Source organism: Homo sapiens, chromosome 5, assembly GCF_000001405.40.
Source record: "Homo sapiens chromosome 5, GRCh38.p14 Primary Assembly".
NCBI lineage: Eukaryota > Metazoa > Chordata > Mammalia > Primates > Hominidae > Homo > Homo sapiens.
Window position 1 is genome coordinate 124,056,332 of NC_000005.10, and position 20,520 is coordinate 124,076,851.

The 20,520-nt window shown below is 37.9% G+C and overlaps 1 long non-coding RNA gene across 1 annotated transcript in view, besides 1 other annotated feature; it reads right to left on the bottom strand.

Annotated features, from left to right (window-relative positions):
* Nucleotides 381-570: an enhancer, noted in NCBI's record as "active region_23008". NCBI's record gives its function as "activates an Ori minimal core promoter by ATAC-STARR-seq in GM12878 lymphoblastoid cells {active_cell/tissue: GM12878}" and the evidence as "EXISTENCE:reporter gene assay evidence [ECO:0000049][PMID:35858748]".
* Nucleotides 3,463-20,520, bottom strand: part of LINC01170 (long intergenic non-protein coding RNA 1170) — a 378,727-nt gene continuing 361,669 nt past the window's right edge. The window contains exons 5-6 of the long non-coding RNA NR_125774.1: nt 6,087-6,179; nt 3,463-3,617 (exon numbers count right to left, since the gene is read on the bottom strand). This is a non-coding gene — a long non-coding RNA (long intergenic non-protein coding RNA 1170). The remainder of the gene's footprint in view (nt 3,618-6,086; nt 6,180-20,520) is intronic.

Genomic DNA, 20,520 nt, shown 5'->3' on the forward strand with positions numbered 1-20,520 from the left:
TAGATCTCAAAGTCTATTGCAGTTTTCTGAAGGGCAGAAGGTGGGTTTTTTGTTGTTGTCTATCATTTTCCTTAGAATTACCAAGGGTAAATTAAGTGCTGCTCTAGAAGCCCTGTCATGGCCAACAACTCGGCAATGGACTGTTGAGGTCTTGAGGTTTCTGCAGAGGTATTTTCAGTTGGTGGGGCTCCAGCACTTTCTTGTTCCGCAGTTCTAAGCCTATTTGCATGAAGCATTCTTCAGGTTAACTGCTCAACTCTCACCTTCATGAATCTGGCATATGAGCAATTATCTCTCTCCAAGGACCGGCATTTGTTGGTCTGATTTTCTCGTTCATAGAGTGATGAGATTTCTGCTTGACGTCCTAGTGCCCCTGAGCCTGGCAGGACATGAGTGGTACTCCTGGGCAACCACAGCACTGTTCCAGATAAGAGCAGTTCTCACTCTGAGGACCCTCAAGTCTTCCATGAACTCAGGTCCTTAAAGACACAAGAACAAATACCTAAACGGGAACTGCGCCGAGACGTGTGTATGTGTGTACATGTGGGTACCTTATGTGGAAGCACACACATGTACATGTGCGCAGGAGCTGAAGGGAGCATGATAATTCCCTACGATGCCATGAATAAGAGAACAGCTGTTTATCTCAGATATTAAAAGAATGTCAATTGGGTTGAGTTTTCTTTTGGCACAAGAATAAGGAATGCTTAAGTTTCCCACTTGCATTTAATTTATTTTTAGGTTTATTCACCACCATTTGTCAGGTTTCTTGAGCGTGACCTGAAACTGACCTTTAGATAAACGTGAAGGCAAACAGAGCCCTGAAACTCTATCTGTATGTTCTTTTGTCTTGGGAACTGTAAATCGGGGCATTAGGTGAATAACACAGCTTGGCTTTGTGTCATGAAAAGTAATTCGGGCTGTGGTAAGGGCAGGATTTATGAAGCTGTCTGGCTAGACTTGGGCAAAATGCCAGCTTACACCTGCCTTGCAGATATGGATGTGTGCAGTTGTCACCTTGCTGAAGCAGCCAAATTCCTTTCACTGGATAGAGGCATTGCTCTGCCACCAAAGCTGGGAGCGGGTAGGGAGGCACTGGTGGGGGCACCTGCTGTGGAGGAGCGAAACAGTCTTTAGGAAACAGACAGCATAGACTTCCCTTTTTGAACTTCCCTTTTCTAACTCCCAGGCAAAACTCTCTTTAAAAAAAAATGTAATTACTATTTCCAAAACATTGTAAGTAATCTTGTGGGGTTGGCAAGAAAATGAAAGTAAATCAATTTGCAAAGCTTTACAGCTTTTTTTTTTTTTTTTTAATGAGAGATTGTGTCATAGCTAAGGTGGCTATATAATTTATCATCCAAACAGGGACACTTTTCAAAGTGAAAAAGGGAGGGCTGTAATTAATTCAGCCAGGACAACAGGCATAAATTGGGGCTGTCTGAGGCAAACCAGGATGGACGAGGACCCTAGTCATGAAAATTTACACTGCCACACAATGAACCCACCAAAGGACTGTTGTGTTACAAGGATGCTTCTCTAAGAAGTGACAGAAATTACACTGTCTCGTTGATGGTGCTGGACTCCCTCCACAAAGCAGATGGCCAAATTGTCATGATGCCAAATCACACTGCAGAATTTCTGTAGTAAAATCGTCATGCGCCCTTTTTCTCAGTGCCTTCCCCATCTCAGAAAAGTGCAAAAGCTCAGCAAATCCTTGCTTTTCCTGAGAATGGCCATCAGATAATATACAAAGCCTGGTCAGCATCTGATTAATTAGGATAAAGGCACAAGGGAGAATGTACAGTGTATGGGGAATAGCACTGATCTTTTTTATCTCAATGCTAATGAACTTTGACATGAACTTCCCCTTCTCCAGCAAAGTCATTTCTTAGAGTTTTCAGCTTTCTCCCCACTTTCTCATACTTTATAGCTTCACTGGTGTATTCATTTCATATGGATGCCATAACAAATAATAAAAAAATTTGGTGTCTAAAAACGAGAAATTATTTTCTCATAACACTGGGAGCCAGAAGTCTGAAATCAAGACGTCAGCAGGACTATGCTCCCTCCAAAGACTTTAGGGGAGAATTCTTCCTTACCTCTCCCAATTTGTGGTGGCTCCTGGTGTTCTTTGGCTTGTGGCAACATAACTGCAAACTCTGCCCCTCTTTCCACATGGCCTTCTTCTTGGGTCTCTGTGTCCTTTCCTCTTTTATAAGGATACCTGTCATTGAACTTTGTGCCCACCTTATATCTGGGATAATTTCGTCTTGAGATTTTTAAATAACTACATCTGCAAAGATCTTATTTCCAAATAACATTCTGAGATTCTGGTTTGACACAGATTTGGGGGGGAACATTGTTCAACTCACTACAATTAGTAAATGACAAACAAATAAATTTCTAAAAAGTAGTCCTTAAACTCCTGGCGACCCCTAGCCCCCATCCAGGTAATTGACTGCATGTGTTGTGAAACCCAGTGCCTCTACATTGCTTCTCTTGCTGTGCGGTTCACATGACAGTCCAGAGGAGGAGGCTACCCACAGAGAATGTATAACTTGAACTCAGCCTTAATAGAAGCTTAATAGAAGTTTGGATAAATTGTGAGAAGGGAGAGGGCATTTGAGTTGAAATTTTAAATCTCTCTTTTAAGCGTCAGCCATAGTGATAACCAAAATGTCTCTTCCTTCTGTAAGAGCCTAAAATTCAACTCAAGCAGGCTTATGCAAAAATGGGCTAATGTATCAGCGATAGTAACGGAAAAGTCCAAGTCTAGGCCCAAGAATCACTGGATGTTGCTCCTGTAAGAGTGCTTTCAGAAATACACTAGTCTCTTCTTGACTTGGGCTTCCTCTGTTTTGACATAATTCCTTGAGAAATGGTCCCAAGCAGCTCCATACTAACAGGCTCTCACATTAGTAAATCCAACAGAAATTTCATGTTTCTTTCCCAGCAGTTCCAGAAAAAGTGGATGTTAAATGGCTGTGATGGTCACACGTTCTCTCCTGAGTAATCATTCTGTCAGGGGCTACTGTACTCCTCCTTCCAGGTCTGAGTCACCTGCCCTACTTAGAGCCATGGGGTGGAGTCAGCCATACCCAAATCATGTGGACTAAGCATGAGAAGAGTGAGGGAGGATTCACTTATTCTAGGAAAGCCATTGTGATGTTAGAGGGGAAGGAGAAATAAATGTAGGCAAACAAAAATAACGGCTGTCCACTCCCCTCACTCTGACAACTTTTACAACCACTTCAGACACTATCGGGAGAATTTCTATTCAGCTGTAAGAGCTGTGTCTGTCCCCAGATAATCCACAAAAATACAAAATGTCTGCTTTGGCACCACAGGTACCACAGATATGTTTTATTTACGCATGGTACCTTAGACCCTATTTTCAGGCAACTAGATGGAAGGTATATCAATCTGCTAGTACTGCCATAAAAAAAATCACAGACTGGGTGGCTTCAACAACAGAAATTTATTTCCTCACAGTTCTGGAGCTACAAGTCCAAGACCATTGTGCTGGCCAGCTCAGTTTCTGGTGAGGGCTCCCTTCCTGACTGGTAGGGGCCTGTCTTCTCCCTGTGTCCTCGCATGGCCTTTCCTTTGTGCTCCTGCAGAGAGAGAGAAAGAGAGAGAAAGTTCTCTTGTGTTTCTTTCTCTTATAAGGACACCAGTCACATTGGATTAAGGTTCTACCATTTTTTTTTAACCTCATTTAATCTTGATTACCTCCTTAAAGGCCACATCCCCAAATACAGTCACATTGGGGGTTGGGGATTCAACATATTGATTTTGAGGAAACACAGTTTAGTCCATAACAAACAGGAAAACATTTTTATTCCACTTACCTCTTACTTAATGTTTTCCAAAGACTTGAAGCAATACATTTTGACACTGATTAACTCTGCCATGTGGTGCCACTTCAAATATTTTTTCAAGTGCAAGATGTAAAATATTTTCCAGTTTCCAATCCATGATATCTCAGAGGTCACATCATGATCCCAAGCACAGCCAGAATCCTATCAGTCTTCCCCTATCAATTAACCCTACAATTGTTTCCATTTAATTGCCAGGTGTTTTTTCTCAGATTAGCAGGCCAACAACTAGACTGCTGCCTCCCAAAAATATTTTCAGACATGAATGACACACGTACACACAAATATTCTATGGCATGCAACATGATGAGATCCTAAGCATATACTGATGTTATAGCCAAGCCTGATTTATGGATGTAATCTCTAAGTATTATGGTGCTTGATTATTTGAATTTCTTTCCACTTAAGCTGACATCAATATATAGAAAAAAGACCATCTGAAAACATGTGATACCTATTAAGTGAAACACGAAACATGACTCTTAAAAGCAAATTGGTTACTAATTCCTGGAGCTGAGTTTATTTAAATCCCATTTAAACCAAGTACCTGTTCTAAGGAAACATTTAGAAATCAAAATCCAGAAAACAAAAGGAAAATTCAGCTCTGGCTCTAGGTTGCCTGATAAAATATTCTGACCCGATGCTGTGCCAAGTTCGCCCAGAATTTATAATACAATCCTTGTTTGAGTTTCTCAGGTACTCCAGATTGGAAATGCACCGAGTCACTATTCCCTCTGTGTTTGCCAATTTGACTTCAAAGTCACACATTAGAATTCATTAGCCAGTTATTGAACTACCCCCTTGTTCCTAGTGTGCAATTTAAAAAGAATTTACAAGTTAAAAAATAGTATAAAGACTACCTCTAAAATGTTTTCATTTTGGAAAAAAAAATCGTGTCTACTTAACACATTAGTTGCTTTTGACAAGCTTTAGTTTTAGATGACTTGGGTAGAATTCAGTGTGTCATTCTTGGCATCATGTTCTCACTGGAACCTTGACAATATTAACATCTCCATCTTTGAGAAGACTAAAACTGGAGTTACCGCAAATCTTGGATTCAATGCTTTTTAGTATTTACACTCAAAAGTATCCTTTTTTCACAGGCCCCCTTTTGAGAAAAGGCACAAAAAGCAGGGTGGGAGTGAATGAACGTTTAACCCCTGAAGGCTGTGCAGACACTTAAACAGAGAAATAAGCATTGACATTGCAGTCCAACGTAAAGGAGGTCCAATTAAAAGCTTTTTTTGTATTAACTAAGATAGATAGTTTTTAGTAAGTCTGCATATATATTTATATTCAGCTCTGTAGAATACAGGATAAATTTAGAATAACAATCATCTCTGGGGTTGGACTTATTTATTACTAATATTAGTGGTATTAACAAAAGGAAAATAGCACCGAGGAGTAATTATTATATCCAAGCTTTATGAGGCCTTTTTTTTGAAAAATGTTTTTCTAAACTGAAAATGAAGAGGATAACATCTTGAATGTAATCCTTGACAGCTTCTATTATGGTTTCTGTCACCTTTTAGTATACTTCCTAACTGTGCGTACTACAGAAAATGGCAAGGAATTAATCAGGTTGCCAAAAGAGTTGGGTTACACAGCATGCAGAAAGCACTTCAGCTACATTATTTGTACAATTTCTGTAGGGAGTTGTGCAATAGAGGCCTTAAATTTAATATGTCTGGCCCCTTTCCACCTGGACTCAGTTCAAACCCATTGCCTGCAGCTTGCTGAATCCAGAGTGGGAAATCAGTCATTATATTAGGAACCAATGGCAAATGATTCCAATTCACATTTTTCAGCTGGTACATTTTTTAACCTAGAGCAACACCAAATTGGAAAATTCTGCAATTCTGCAAGCTGGGCATTAGATCTATATTGCAGTCTAAATACATTTCTAGTCTTAAGAAGTTGACAAGATGATTTTTCTTTAGAATTTCTTTAGTTGATGTGCCATTGACAGAAATTTCAAGGTCTACCACATCATCACCTTTTGCTGGTCCTTTGTTTTTCTCACTGAGGGTAAGTGGTGGTGTCAGTGCCATAAACTGCAATAATCTATGAAACATTGACTCGACTCCTTTATGCCTGTGGCCACATTAGGTAAATTGAAAGGCCATATGCAGCAAAATGAAACTTTCTTGGAGATTGTTAAAAACAAACAAACAAACAAAAAATTCCAAGCATAGTGTCTCTTGCCTGTAATCCCAGCACTTTGGGAGGCTGAGGTGGGAAGATTGCTTGAGCCCAGGAGTTTGAGATCAGCATGGACAACATAGTGAGACCCCATATCTAAAACATAAAAATAAAAAAAAAATTAGTTGAGCATGGTGGCACGTACCTGTAGCCCCAGCTACTCAGGAGGCCAAGGTGGGAGGATTGCTTGAACCCAGGGGACTGAGGCTGTAGTGTGTTGTGATCATGCCACTGCATTCCAGCCTGGACAACAAAGTGAGGCCTTGTCTCATAAAAATAAATTATTTTTTATTAGTAAGTAAACATAAAGGAAAGTAATGCTATATGGAAAATGAAATGAAGAAGCAAGTAATAGAAAAAGAAAGGCCAACCACCTCTTAACCATATGAATATATGGTCAAACATGTTGGTAGCAAGGAAATGTAAAATAAAATATAAATGAGATCTCACTTTCTATTCTTCACATTGAAAACTAATATCAAGTGCTGGTGAGAATATAGGGCAACATACTTTGCTGGTAGAATAAAGAATTGCTACAACCTTTATGAAAAGAATCTATCAATACCCATTGACCTAGACATCCCAATTTTGAAAATATACAAAAAGATGAGTAGGTAAAGTCGGAAGTACAAATATGTTTAAGGCAGTCATATTTAAACTACAAAAATTATTAAAACAACCCAAAACGCTATTGATAAGGAAATGCTTGGTTAAGTTATGGTCAATATAGTGACTGGTATGCAACTATTTTAAAATGGGCCCTATAAGTATTTGCTTAGAGGCAGTTATATAATGTATTGCTTAATTTAAAAAGCAAATTATAGAGTGTTATGTAGAATATAGCCACCTTTAAAAAAAACACAATAAATTATAGACATGTGAACATGAATGTGCATTTGTGTATGTATGTGTTTTATTAAGAAAAGTATAGAAAGGTATACAAAAACAGAAATAGGTTTAGAGGAAAGAAAAGTGAAGAATATTAACATTTCACTTCTATAAGCCTATATTGTTGAGCTTATTAAAATAAGCATGTATTATTTTTGTAAATAAAATTTAATAAAATTAAAAGGAGCAAAAAGGGCAATTAATTTTAGAGCTATAATTTACAGGTGTATTTCAATTAGGGTTCTCTAAAGAAGCAGAATCAATAGGGTGTGTGTGTGTATGTGTGTGTGTAGATGTTCATATATAACTATATAATATATAATGTATAACTATAATACAATTATATGAATATATATATAGGTATATAGACAGACTGACAAATTTTAAGGAATTTGATTATGGGGGCTGGCAAGTCCAAAATCAGCAGGGTAGGCTAGTAGGCTGGAAACTCAAGCAGGAGTCTTGAGATAGAATTTCTTATTTTCTGAGAAACCTCAGTTTTTGCTTTTTTAAGGCAACTGCTTGCGTGAGGCCCACCCACATTATTGATGGTAATTTTTTTATGTAAAGTCAACTGATTGTAGAGAGTAACCTTGTCTACAAAAATATCTTCACAGTACCACCTAGATTAGTGTTTCAATAAATAACTGGGTACTATAGCCTAATCAAATTGACACATAAGACTAACCATCACAGTCCACCTCTTGTCAAATTGGCAGCCATACACATCTCCTTACAACACACTTAATCTCCAAAGTAAAAACAATAAAACAGTAACAAGTCACACTTTTATTGTATCCACCTAACATGATACAACTATGTAGTGTATGACAAAAAAATATACTCTTTCCCCAAAGGGATGCAAAGTCCTTGGATAATGTTCACTCTTCTCTTTGATGTCCTGTAACTTAAATGCTATGGTGGAAAGGTAGCTATTATTTAATATGTCTTATGTCATTATGATAAGAGGAGAGAAAAGAAAACAGAGATATTTGCCATACATACACACAAACACACCTACACTTACACACATACATACACACAAATTTATAACAAAATAAGAAAATAGGCAGGGCATGTTAGCTGACAGCTGTAATCCCAGCACTTTGGGAGGCTGAGGCAGATAGATCACTTGAGGTCAGGAGTTTGAGACCAGCCTGGCCAACATGGCAAAACCCCTTCTCTACTAAAAATACAAAAATTAGCTGGGTGTGGTGACACTCCTCTGTAATTCTGGCTACTCAGGAGGCTGAGGCATGAGAATTTCTTGAACCCAGGAGGCACGGGTTGCAGTGAGCCAAGATCACACCACTGCACTCTAGCCTGGGTGAAGGAGTGAGACTCTGTCTCAAAAAAAAACCACCAAAATAAGAAAATAAGGAAGAAAGGCTTGTAACAATTTCAATTTTTATTTATGCAAATGGTCACATCGTTTTAGCTGGTATTTAAACTACCTTCTTCCACTATGCCCTTTACCTGGTGGAGTGACACAAACTTCTATTCCTAAAGGATCTAGGTCATTAATAGTGCTGCCTGAATTGTGATGTTGCAGTTTTCCATTAACATTAATCACAAGGCATGATAATACTAAGAGATGCCCTAAGGGAGCTCCTATATTTCAGACATACTCTTCCTTCTCTCCATTATGTAGTAGCAGGCCAATTTTCCCTTGGTAATCAGGATCAATCACATCAGTCAGTATACAAACAGGTATATTTTTTGCCCGTTGAGTCAGAAGCATGAGGAACCCAAAGTGGCCAGTGGCTATCTTAACATCCAGTTCAGTAGAATCATTGTTTTGTCTCCTGGTGGAAACATTTCTCCCTTTGGAACTAAGACCTCTAAGGTCAGCAGAGTATGAGATCATGGAGACAGGAAACAAAATGTTGCCAGTGTGTCACCAGGGGTAATGATCAGTGGTGCTACTCACATTTCCACTCATTTCCTTGATTTCTGTATTCATGAATCCTGGCTGTGGGAGAAACAGCACCAGATCTTGGATGCTGATTTAGAGCATATACAGCCTCCTGAAATACACTGGCCAAGTTCTCTAAGGTATTGTCACCCAACTGGCATTGCAATTGAGTCTTCAAAAGCCTATCCTACCATTTTATCAAGGCAGCTGCTTCAGGATGATAGAAAACATAGTAAGACCAGTGAATTCCATAAGCATGTGCCTGTTGCTACACTTTATTTTCTGTGAAGTGGGTGGGTTATTGGATCAGAAGCAATGCTGGGAAATGCCATGATGGTGGATAAGTCATCCTGTAAGTCCACAGATGGTAGTTTTGGCAGAATCAGTGCATGCAAGGAGGCAATTCTGTATCTAGAGTGTCTATTCTGGTAAGATCACAGCACTTCCCCTTCCACGATGGAAGCACTCCAATATCATCAACCTTCCACTAGATGGCTAGCTGGTCACCCCAGAGAATGGTGCCATATTGGGACTCAGTGTTGTTCTTGGCTGCCGGCAGATTGATCACTCAGTGATGGCTGTTGTCAGGTCAGCTTTGGTGAATAGAAGTCCATGTTGCTGAATCCATCCTTGCCATCATGGCCACTTTGTTCATGAGCCCACTAGGCAATGGCAGAAGTGGCTGGAAACAGAGGCTATTATCCACAGAAAGAGTCATCCTATACACTTGATTATTAAAATACTCCTCTGCTGAATTTACTCCTTGGTGAGCATTCACATGGGACACAAATATCTTCACATTTTTGCTCATTCAGAGAGGTTCTCCAGAAAAGCAGAACCAATAGGATGTGTGTGTGTGCATATGCCTCTTCTCCAAGCCTCCCTGTCACCATTTTTGAATCGGGTTTCTTCCAAGTTCCTGACCATCCAGCTAAAACATTAGCCACAACTCATGAATTGATATATACTTGTACTTCTGCCATTTCTCCTTCCAAGTAAATGAACAACCAGGTACATTTCTTGAAGTTCTGCTCACTGTGGAGATTTCCCTTCACCATTGTCCTTTAGGAATGTCCTATAAAGGACTATAGTGCTGTAGATGTCTATTTTTGGATTATGCCTACATATTGTACAGGACCATCTGTAATTCAGACTTGAGTGTTTTGCCTCCACAGTCATTGATTTTAGGGAAAATCCATAAGTATGGATTGAGAAAGAATATATTGTAGCAGGTGTGGAGACCATGGGCATTTGGGCCATTTCTTCATGAAACTTATGGCTTGGTGGGTCAGATAACACTTAGTTCATGATGGGCAATTCAGATGGCATGTTAACTTGGTGGCCCATGATCAAGCATTCTGTCTCTACTAAGGCCCAGTAGCAGGCAAAAGCTGCTTCTCAAAAGGAGAGTATTTATCTGCAAAAGGTAGCAGGGCTTTGCTCCAAAATCCTAAAGGCCAGTGCTGATTTACCTATTGGGGTCTGCCAAAGACTCCAAACAGGTCTCCATCTGTGACTAACACTTCAAGCACCATTGGATCTGCTGGGTCTTATGGCCCAAGTGGTAAAGCAGCTTGTGCACCAGAATGGACCTGTTGCAGAGCCTTCTCTTATTCAGTGACCTACTCAAAACTAGCAGCTTTTTGGGTCAATCAGTAATACACTCGAATGAGGAATACGTCGCCTCTAAAATCCAAAAAGGTCCACTAAGCATTGTGCCACTTTTGGGGTTGTAAGAGAGGTCAGCTGCAAAAACTTATTCCTCATCTTAGAAGGGATATCTTGACATGCTCCACAACACTGCACTGCTAGAAATTTCCTTGTGGTAGAAGGCCCCTAGATTTTTGTGAAACATATTTTTTACCCTCTGACTTGCAAATGTCTTACCAATAAGTCTAGAATAGTGTTGCTTCTTGCTCACTAGATCTAATCAGCATAATGCCATCAATGTAGTAGATTAATGTGATATCTTGTGAAGGGAAAGGCAATCAAGATCTCTGCACAATAAACTATAACACGGGGCTAGAAAGCTGATATGTCCCTGAGGTAGGACAGTGAAGGTGTGTTGCTGGTTTTGTTAGCTGAAAGCAAACTGCTTCTGGTATACTTTACTAAAAAACAGGAGAAGCCATTTGTCAAATCAATACCTGCATACCAGATACAAATGCATACATTACCTCGTTCTAGCAATGAAATTCATCTACCAGAGCAGCTGCAATCAGAGTCACTATCTGGTTAAGCCACTGTCATTCTCCAAAATTTGTGTTCAGTACAGCCCAAATAAGCAAGTTTGATGAGGATGTGATAACAATCACTACCCCTTCATCACTCAAGTCCTTGATGGTGTCACTAATCTCTGCAATCCTTTCAGGAATGCAGTATTGCTTTTGGTTTATTATTTCCTAGATAGAGGCAGTTCTCATGGATTCCACTTGTCCTTTTCTGCATAATAGCCCTCAACCCACAGGTCAGGGAGCTAACATGGAGATTCAACCAGTTACCAGGTATGTTCAAATTATGTATTCCAGAGCTGGGGAAATAACCATATAATGAGTTCAGGAATCCACTGGACCCATTGTGAGATGGATCTGAGCTAAAACTTCATTGAACACTGATCTCCATATTTCTGTACTCGAAATGGTGGACCACAGTGACATTTTGGGTCTCCTACAGTTAATGCCAATTTATAGCCAGGTTCCAGTAATATCTGAAATATCTGCTTATTTCCTTTTTCCCAGTGAACAGTCACTCTGGTAAACAGCTATGGGTCTCTTTGGGAAAGGCTGGAAGAAAGATTAATAGTATAAGTTTTTGGCAGTGTGGTGGGGTCCTTCCTCAAGGATCCTCAGCCTCCTCTTCATTCAAGGGGTTCTGGTCTGCAAACTTGCTGAAGTCTGGGGTTTGATTGAGTGGACATGACTCTGTTTTTATTACTCAAGTTGGACTTTTGTTTACTTGACCTAAAACTCTCCACTTTTACAGATCAAGTAATAATTTAGTAGGCTTCCTACCTATTTCACTTCTAAGAACACTATGATCAACTAGCCAATGTCACAGGTCTCTGTGAGTCAGATTATTACGACTGCCCGTTTGACACTGCTGTCCATTATGATATCCGTGCCCAACTTGCCTTTTGAGATTGAATGTTACCACTTTGCCCCTGCAACCCAAGGGATCCAGTTATTCCCATGGTATCTGGGCTTCTTAATTCAGTAGTAGCAGTTCCCATGATAATTCCAACCTACAGAAAAAAGCAATCACAAAGCTCTTCAAGGATATTGGGACTCCCTTCACAAATTTATTATTCACAGTCATGATGAAAGATATATCTGTGGACCATTCTTGGGTGGGCGAGCAAGTCTTAAATGATAAATCTACCCTAAAAATACCCCAATCCTGAAGACTTTGGATTCTTTACAATATACCATGCCAGTTCTGGCATGTCAACTGTACTTATAGTGGGGCACTTTTTGGTCTATGTTTCAGCCAACCAAATAAATAGCTAAAACCCTTTCTAATCCCCCAAGCTGCAACATTAAACCCAGAATATCTGCTCAGTGAGAATATATCAATAAATTTGGCCTGATCCAACTTTATGCTTCTTCTACTATTATTCCACACCCTTAATATCCATTCCTACATGTATTCCCCAGATTCCTGCCTGTATAAATAGAAAATCATGAAGCTCTTTTGGAGGGTAGTGCATGTCCTTATAGCCACGTGTTGTACCTCACCCTTTCAGGCCTGCTGGAACTTCAGTCAAGTTATAGGTCTAAAAGCAAAAAAGGAGTGGTATAGATGGTCCCTAAGGAGAATCAACAGAAAGCCGGAACCTTGCTTCTTATAAGTTTTTGATTTGGAGTATCCAATGATACTTTGTATCATTGTATCCAGTGATATTTTGCCTATCTCTATTGCTATATCACACTGTGGACTATCAGTGCCCTCTTTACCACTGGAAATAATCATTAGTGTCTTTAAATATAATCAGATTAGAGAATCAATTACAGAAACTCCAAATCATTTCAAAGAATTGATCCTTAAGATCCTGTTCCTCTATAACCACTCTTAGTACTGAAATCTGTATCAGTCAAGGTCTCCAGAAAAATAGAACCAATAGATTAAGATAGACATATAGAGATATAGATGTTAACCATTTCTACGGTATACATTCATTGCAACATCTAGATGAGCATTCAATCAGATTATTGGGTATTACAGCCTGGCTATGTTGATAAGTAAAACTAACTATCACAAAGGAGATGACCAGTAGCTCTCATTAGAATATTATGCTTGGTTTTACCTAGGGTGAACTTTCCTGAAACAATCTAGACTGATCTAAAAACATCTTGTCTCAGTATAACTTGGACATTTTGAGGATAGGAGTGGGAAGGCAACCTGATTATACATAAAACCTTTTAAAGTAAGAAATAAAAAAAAGAGTTAAGAGGTCAATCAGGTTGGCCAATTTATTTGGTAGTTGAGGAGCTGAAGCATTTTTTAATCCATTAATATATACCCATTATGGCTGTATACTCTAACCCTTCTTAGCTGTTAAACCAGAGTTCAGAATGCCTGGATTCAACTTCTAGCTCAGCCATCTTACTCAGGCAGATTACTTCATCTCTATAAGCCCTGTTGGAAATATCTCAGGGTTAGACTTTATGCATTTCTATCACTCAAATTCATAACATTTTAACAATTTAAAAACAAATATCAAAATAATAACATATAGGTATAGATGTGGTACAAAATTTTGCTTTATTTCCAAAGGACTTGAAGAATTTACTTGTTTTCATCCAACACACTTTTGAAAACATAAATAGCAAATATAAATATATTCTCATTGGAGGAGGGTTGATGAGATTTCCCGGGAGCGATGCTCTGCATTCTAAATCTGAGGCATCCTAACAGGTCCTGTGTGCCCTTGAGTTAAGGTGGGAGTCCATGACATTTGGTATAGAAATTGTTGCCTTTGCCAAATGAAAATGAAATTGACATATTGGCTGCACAGCTTATATTCTGAATTGTGTTCCCAGGAGTACATAGCCTGTACTCTTTTTCTGTTTTCTTGTAGTAACTTAAGAAACAAGTTTATAAGTTGCCTAAAGAGTCAAGACTGCTGTTGTGAAATAGAGGTTTTCTTGAAGGAAAACTAACCCTTCTAGTCATTAAGTTTTGTTGTAATGCTCTGGATAACCTGCTCTGGAACCATTAGAGCACTTTCTATAAATATTTCTGGAGGCCTTGATAGAAAATAACTTTACATTCAAATAGAATATAGTGGAATATTTGGAAATATAACCTCTTCACCCTTTACATCAAATAAGTTGCTGTATCAAAACAAAAATAAAAGCATGAGATTTGACCATGACTTTGAGACCTGTGGCACTATTTTCCAGCAGTATAACATCAGAGTTCACTTGGTTCCTCTGAGTCTCAATTGTCTCATATAACAATGCCTACCTCTCAGTATTCTGAGATAATCTTATAATGATATATATGAGAGAGATCTGTAAACTTTACAACATTGGCAATATTAATAGTTCTCTGACAATCATATGCTCTTATAAATTCAGAACAAGTTTCAAAAGAAGCAGATGCTATTTGAGAGAACAGAATCACAATACTATCTTCTTAAAATCAAATCAAAATTTCACAGACGTAGCAACATAAATCCACAAGTGTTTATCTCTAGAAACAGTGAAATGGGAAAAGATTATCAGTCCTTTGTGCAAAGAACGTCTGGTTACAAATTCGGAAGGGTGCTGAAATGCCGGTTTTATATATCTATTTCTGCTAGGCAGAGAGACTAGTCAGGAGATAAAGGACAGAGTGCTGGAAAGCTTGGGCACAGATTTTATGGAGCAGGGAGGAATCATGAAGGTGGGAGCACCATAGACTGTTCTAATATGCGGACTGTCAGTAAATGTCAAGACTCCAACTGAAACATCTTAGTACCGATAGCATCTGTTTCCCCAGCTGGTTCTCAGCCTGAAATTGTTAAGGAAAACAACGTGGTGGCAGGAAAGGATCAGTTTGGGAAAGATTAGATTCCACTCCCGGAGCCATAGAATCAACAGGAAGTTGCTGCATGTGATCTTTATTCAAAACTAGGAGAGGAATCCAGTAGAGTACATTTGTTCTGAAATTTCTTTAGCTTGGCCCAGACTACCTGCCTTTCTCCTTAGAGATAGGACTATTCTAAATAATGATATTTAGTAAATGGTATCTCAAATGTACTGGTAATTGAAAATAAAAACCTGGATGTGATTCTTGAGACCACCTCTCAAATAGTTGTCAAACGGGTTCACTTCTCATCATTTCCACCTCTACCCTTCCAGCCTAGCCCTTTCCTGGGGGTGACACAAGTGGCATTTGAGCTGGATTTTCAATAATATAAAAGATGTCAACAAAATGGAGAGGGGAGGCAGGCAAGGAATTCAAAAGTCAAAAGAGAACAAAGACATTTTGGTAACAAACTGGAGCCTAGAATGCAGAAGGAAGCATGGTAAGATATAAATTCTGACTGCTGAAAATCTTGAATGCCACATAAGGATTTTGGACTTTATGCAAGAGACAAAAAGGTCATTTGGAGTCTTTGAAAATGGGTTTGGCAGGATTAGAACTATAAGGTAGGTATAGAAAACCAGATTTTGTTATCCATTCATCTATCTGCTGATAATAACACATTAATTATCCTCTATGTAATTTTTCCTTGCCCTTCTCCTAAGCTTTGTGCTTTGGGTGGAATTCATTTTACTCCTAGATCCACGGGTAACTCTGTGACTTAGACTTGGCACCCCCAAAATTGTTTTCCATGATCACTAAAATTGGCTTAGAATGGATGAGTGATCTGAAAAGCCAGTAAAAGTCAATGGGACTTTTGTTGATGCTATTGTGGGTCACACTGTCTTTCTTGTGAGACTCAAATCCGGGAGGTTATAGGTTGCAGCAGGTATTTATGCAATCATGTGGAGCCTGGAAATGACAGGCCCATGGGGAAGAAAACAGAGCCTGTGTCCTGGTCATGTTATCTGCGTTGCTCTCAAAACACCCAACCCTTGAGCTTTACGTGTTACCTAAGTCATTGAAATATCTTTCCTTTAGTTAGATTTTCTGCCTTTTGCAGCAGAAAGAATCCTGACTGAAACTCCAGTGAGAGAGATATGTACAACGCTAACGATGTGAGAATACAGATACCAAAGGGGCAAGAGTAAAATCTGATATATATGGGGAAAGAGGTTTTAAGAGAGGATAATTTATGGTTCCCCCTTATTTTCTATCTACAGGGTTAGCACTGTTATTGATCAACACAAGGGAGACTATTGTTTTCCTCTTATGAACCTTCACAACTGTTTAAGAACATTAAATATTAGGGTAAGTTTTCATTTGATTAGAAAGTTCTGTCTTTGTCTCCCTCTTCCAAACTATGATCAGATATAACACTCACACAAGAATAGGCTAACTCACTTATTTATGCACATTTTAAAAAATACTTAAAATATTAGGAAGCTTAAGTGAAAGAAGATAAGGCTATTATGACAAAGTAGATCCACTGTGACTCATGAAGCACAATTTTATTTGTCAGGAAATGTATGTAATTGATGCAGAGTAAATCTTTGTTGAGAAATAGCAGCTAACACTTACCAAACATTATGCTCTGAGATTCTTATATATATTAACCAGTTTAATCCTAATTATAGCTCTTTCAGGAATATATCTTTTAGTTTTAATTTACAATTCAGGAAGCTGAGCACAGATAGGATAAATACCTTGCCCTAACTTTTAATGATGCCAGAATGCGAAACTGGATAATTTAGCTGTAAAACCACGTTTAAGCACTGTACTTGGAGCAAGTGAATAAATGAATAAGCAAATAGATCATCCCTTCTTCCTAATGCTGGAAAAAACCTGGCAATTGGATGGTGTCTTTGTAACAACTCAGTTCTGTTCTCTTCAATAGAGTCATATTCTTTTAATTCCTCAGTTGCTACCTGATTATCAATTAGAAACTTTGAGGAAGCTGTATTCACTATTTCCAATCTCCCAATACAATTTAGTGCACTGAAAAGACAATTTACTCAAACAAAAAACTTGTTAAATGCTAGTATGGTAAAGTGGAGGACTAAGTGTTATTTCCTATATTATCTACTTGTAGTAAGGGAGTAGATGACTCCCTGAGAGAAAATTTGCCTAATTATGGGTCTGATATCTAGTACTTCATAGCATTTTCTGCTCATGTTGAAATGGATGCCAGGCTGCATCTGTGTGTTTTAAATGAAAGTCTTGCCCAGGAACCAGTGACAATTTGCCCAGTCCATGTTTATAGTCTACAGTATTAGGTGGGATGGGTGGCACTGTAGTCACTAATCTGACATGAACTAACACTTACCATAATGGCACAGGATTTACCACTTGAAATTGCACCTGAGTTTGTGCCTCTCAGCTAACATAGAAATGCTAATCATATCTCATACAGATAGCAATTTAAAAATCAATCTCTGTGTTCATGAAAATATGACTTAATTCTTGGCTGATGTCACTATAATGGGAGGGGTAAGATCAACTTCTATTTAAAAATCAGGTCATTCATGCATTTAATTGCAAAATATCTCACTGTCACAAAATGCCTCTCCTCCCTTTGTAGATGCATCCTTTTGTGTTCATCATAGTTCTTTCTGCAGCCTTTGACATGGGCAGGCAACTACCTCTTTGCTTTAAAACATATTATCTTTAAAAAAAAATTAATTGACAATAATTTTACATATTCACGGGGCCCATAGTGATGTTTTCATATGTATAATGTGAAGTGATCAGGTCAGGTTAATTAGCATATCTATCATCTCAAACATTTATAATTTATTTGTGTTGGGAATATTTGCTAACTATAGTCATTTTACAGTGGTTTAGAACACTAATACTTATTTCTCCTACCTAACTGTAATTTTATACCCTTTAACAAATCTCTCCCTAACCCTACCTTCCCTCTACCCTTCCCATCCTCCAGTGTCTTCTGTTCTACTTTGTATTTCTATGAGATCAACTTATTTTAGCTTCCACATGTAAGTGAGAATATGCAATGTTTAACTTTCTATTTCTGGCTTATTTCACTTAACATAATGTCCTCCGATTCTATCCATGTTGCTGCAAATGACAGGAGTTCATCCTTTTTATGGCTGAATAGTATTCTATTGTGTACATATACCAGAGTTTATTTATTCATTCATCTGTTGTTGGATGCCTAGGTTGAATCCACATCTTGTCTATTGTGAATAGTGCTGCAATAAACATGGGGGTGCAGATGTCTCTTTGATATTAACATTTCCTTCCCTTTGGATAAATTCACAGTAGTGGGACTGCTGGATCATGTGGTAGTTCTATTTGTAGTTTTCTGAGGGACCTCCATACTGTTCTGCACAGTGGCTGTACTAGTCTGTATTCCCACCACAGTGTATGAGAGTTCTCTTTTCTCTGCATCCTTGTCAGCATTTGTTATTTTTTGTGTTTTAGGTAATAGCTGTCCTCACTGGGGTGTGATGATACCTCATTGTGGTTTTGATTTGCATTTCCCTGATGATTAGTGATGTTGAGTATTTTTTCACATATTTTTTGGCCATTTGTATGTCTTCTTTTGAAAAATATCTGTTCAGATTACTTGCCCTGTTTTCAATTACAGTGTTTAGGTTTTTTGTTTGTTTGGTTAGCTTTTGCTGTTGACATGCTTTAGTTCCTTGTATATTCTGGATATTAGTCTCATGTCAAATAAGTAGTTTGCAAGTATTTTTTCTTATTCTGTAAGTTGTCTTTTCATCCTGTTAATTGTTCCCTTTCCTGTGCAGAAGATTTTTAGTTTGATATAATCTCTTTTGTCTATTTTTGCTTTTGTTGTTGTGCTTTTGAGGTCTTATTTATATAACCTTTTTCCAATCCAATGTTCTGAAGTGTTTCTCCTATGTTTCCTTCTAGTAGTTTTACACTTTTAAGTCTTAAATTTGATTTTTTTGTATAGTGTGAAAGGTGGAGGTCTAGTTTCATTCTTCAGCATATGGATATCCAATTTTCTGAGCATCATTTATTCAAGAGATTGTCCTTTCCCCAGTGAGTGTTCTTGACAGTTTTCTCAATAATCAGTTAGCTAGGAACACGTGGATTTATTTCTGGGTTCTCAATTCTGTTTCACTGGTCTATGTGTCTATTTTTTATGCCGATATCATTCTGTTTAGTCCCTCAGCTTTGTAGTATATTTTGAGGTCTACTAATATGATACCTCTTCCTTTCTTCTTTTTGTTCAGGATTGCTTTGGCTGTTTGGGGTCTTTTGTTGTTCCAAACAAATTTTAAGATTTTTCTTCTACTTTTGTGAAGAATGTCATTGATATTTTGATAACAATTGCATTGAATCTGTAGATTGCTTTGTGTGGGATGGTCATTTTGACAATATTAATTCTTCCAGTTCTTAAGTATGAGATGTCTTTGCATTTGTTTGTATCCTCTTTAGTTACTTGTAGTTCTATACAAAACATCAATGTTTTATAGTTTGCCTTGTAAAGGTCTTTCACTGCCTTGGTTGAATTTATTTCTAATTATTATTTTTTGGGTAGCTGTTGTAAATGAGATTGCCTTCTTGATTTCTTTTTCAGCTAGTTCATTGTTTGTGTATAAAAATGCTACAAATTTTTATATATTCATTTTGTATCCTGCAACTTTACTGAATGTATTCATCAATTCTCAGAGTTTTTTGGTAGAGTCTTTGGGGTTTTCTATATATAAGACCTGTGTATAAGATATTATTATCTGCAAAATTTGACTTCCTTCTTTCTTATTTGGATGCCCTTTATTTCCCTCTCTTGCCTAATTGTTCTGGCTGGAACTTCCAGAACTATATTGAATTACAGAGGTGAGAGTGAGCATCCTTGTGTTGTTCCAGTTCTTAGAGAAATAGCTTTTAGACTTTTGATGTTAGCTATGTGTTTGTCATATATAGCCTTTATTATGTTGAGGCACTTCACTTTTATACCTAATTTTTAAGTTTTTATCATGAAGAGATGTTAAATTATATCAAACGCTTTTTCTTTATCTATTGAGAGGAACATATTGTTCTTTTCCTTTATTTTATTAATGTAGGCATAACGTTTGTTGATTTGTATGTGTAGAACCATCCTTTCATTCCTGGAATAAATCTCACTTGATCATGTTATATTATCTCTTTGATGTGTTGTTGGATTCAGTTTGCTAGTCTTTTGTTGATTATTTTTCGTCTATGTTAATCAGGCATGTTGTCCTATAGTTTTCTATTTTTGTTGTGCAGTTGTCTGATTTTGGTGTCAGGGTTTATACTGGCCTCATAAAATGAGTTGCAAAGAGTGCCCTCTCCTTCAATTTTTTAGGATGGCTTGAGAAGAATTGATATTAATTACTCTGTAAGGTTTTGATAGAATTCGGTGGTGACGCCATTTGTTTATGGACTTTTCTTGGTTGGAAGACTTATTATTACTGATTGGTGTATTCTAGTTTTCTGTTTCTTCTTCTTGATTCAATCTTAGTAGGTTGTATGTGTCCAGAAATTTATCCATTTCAAATTTATTTGACATATAATTGTTCCCAGTAGTCTCTAATGATCCTTTGTGTTTCC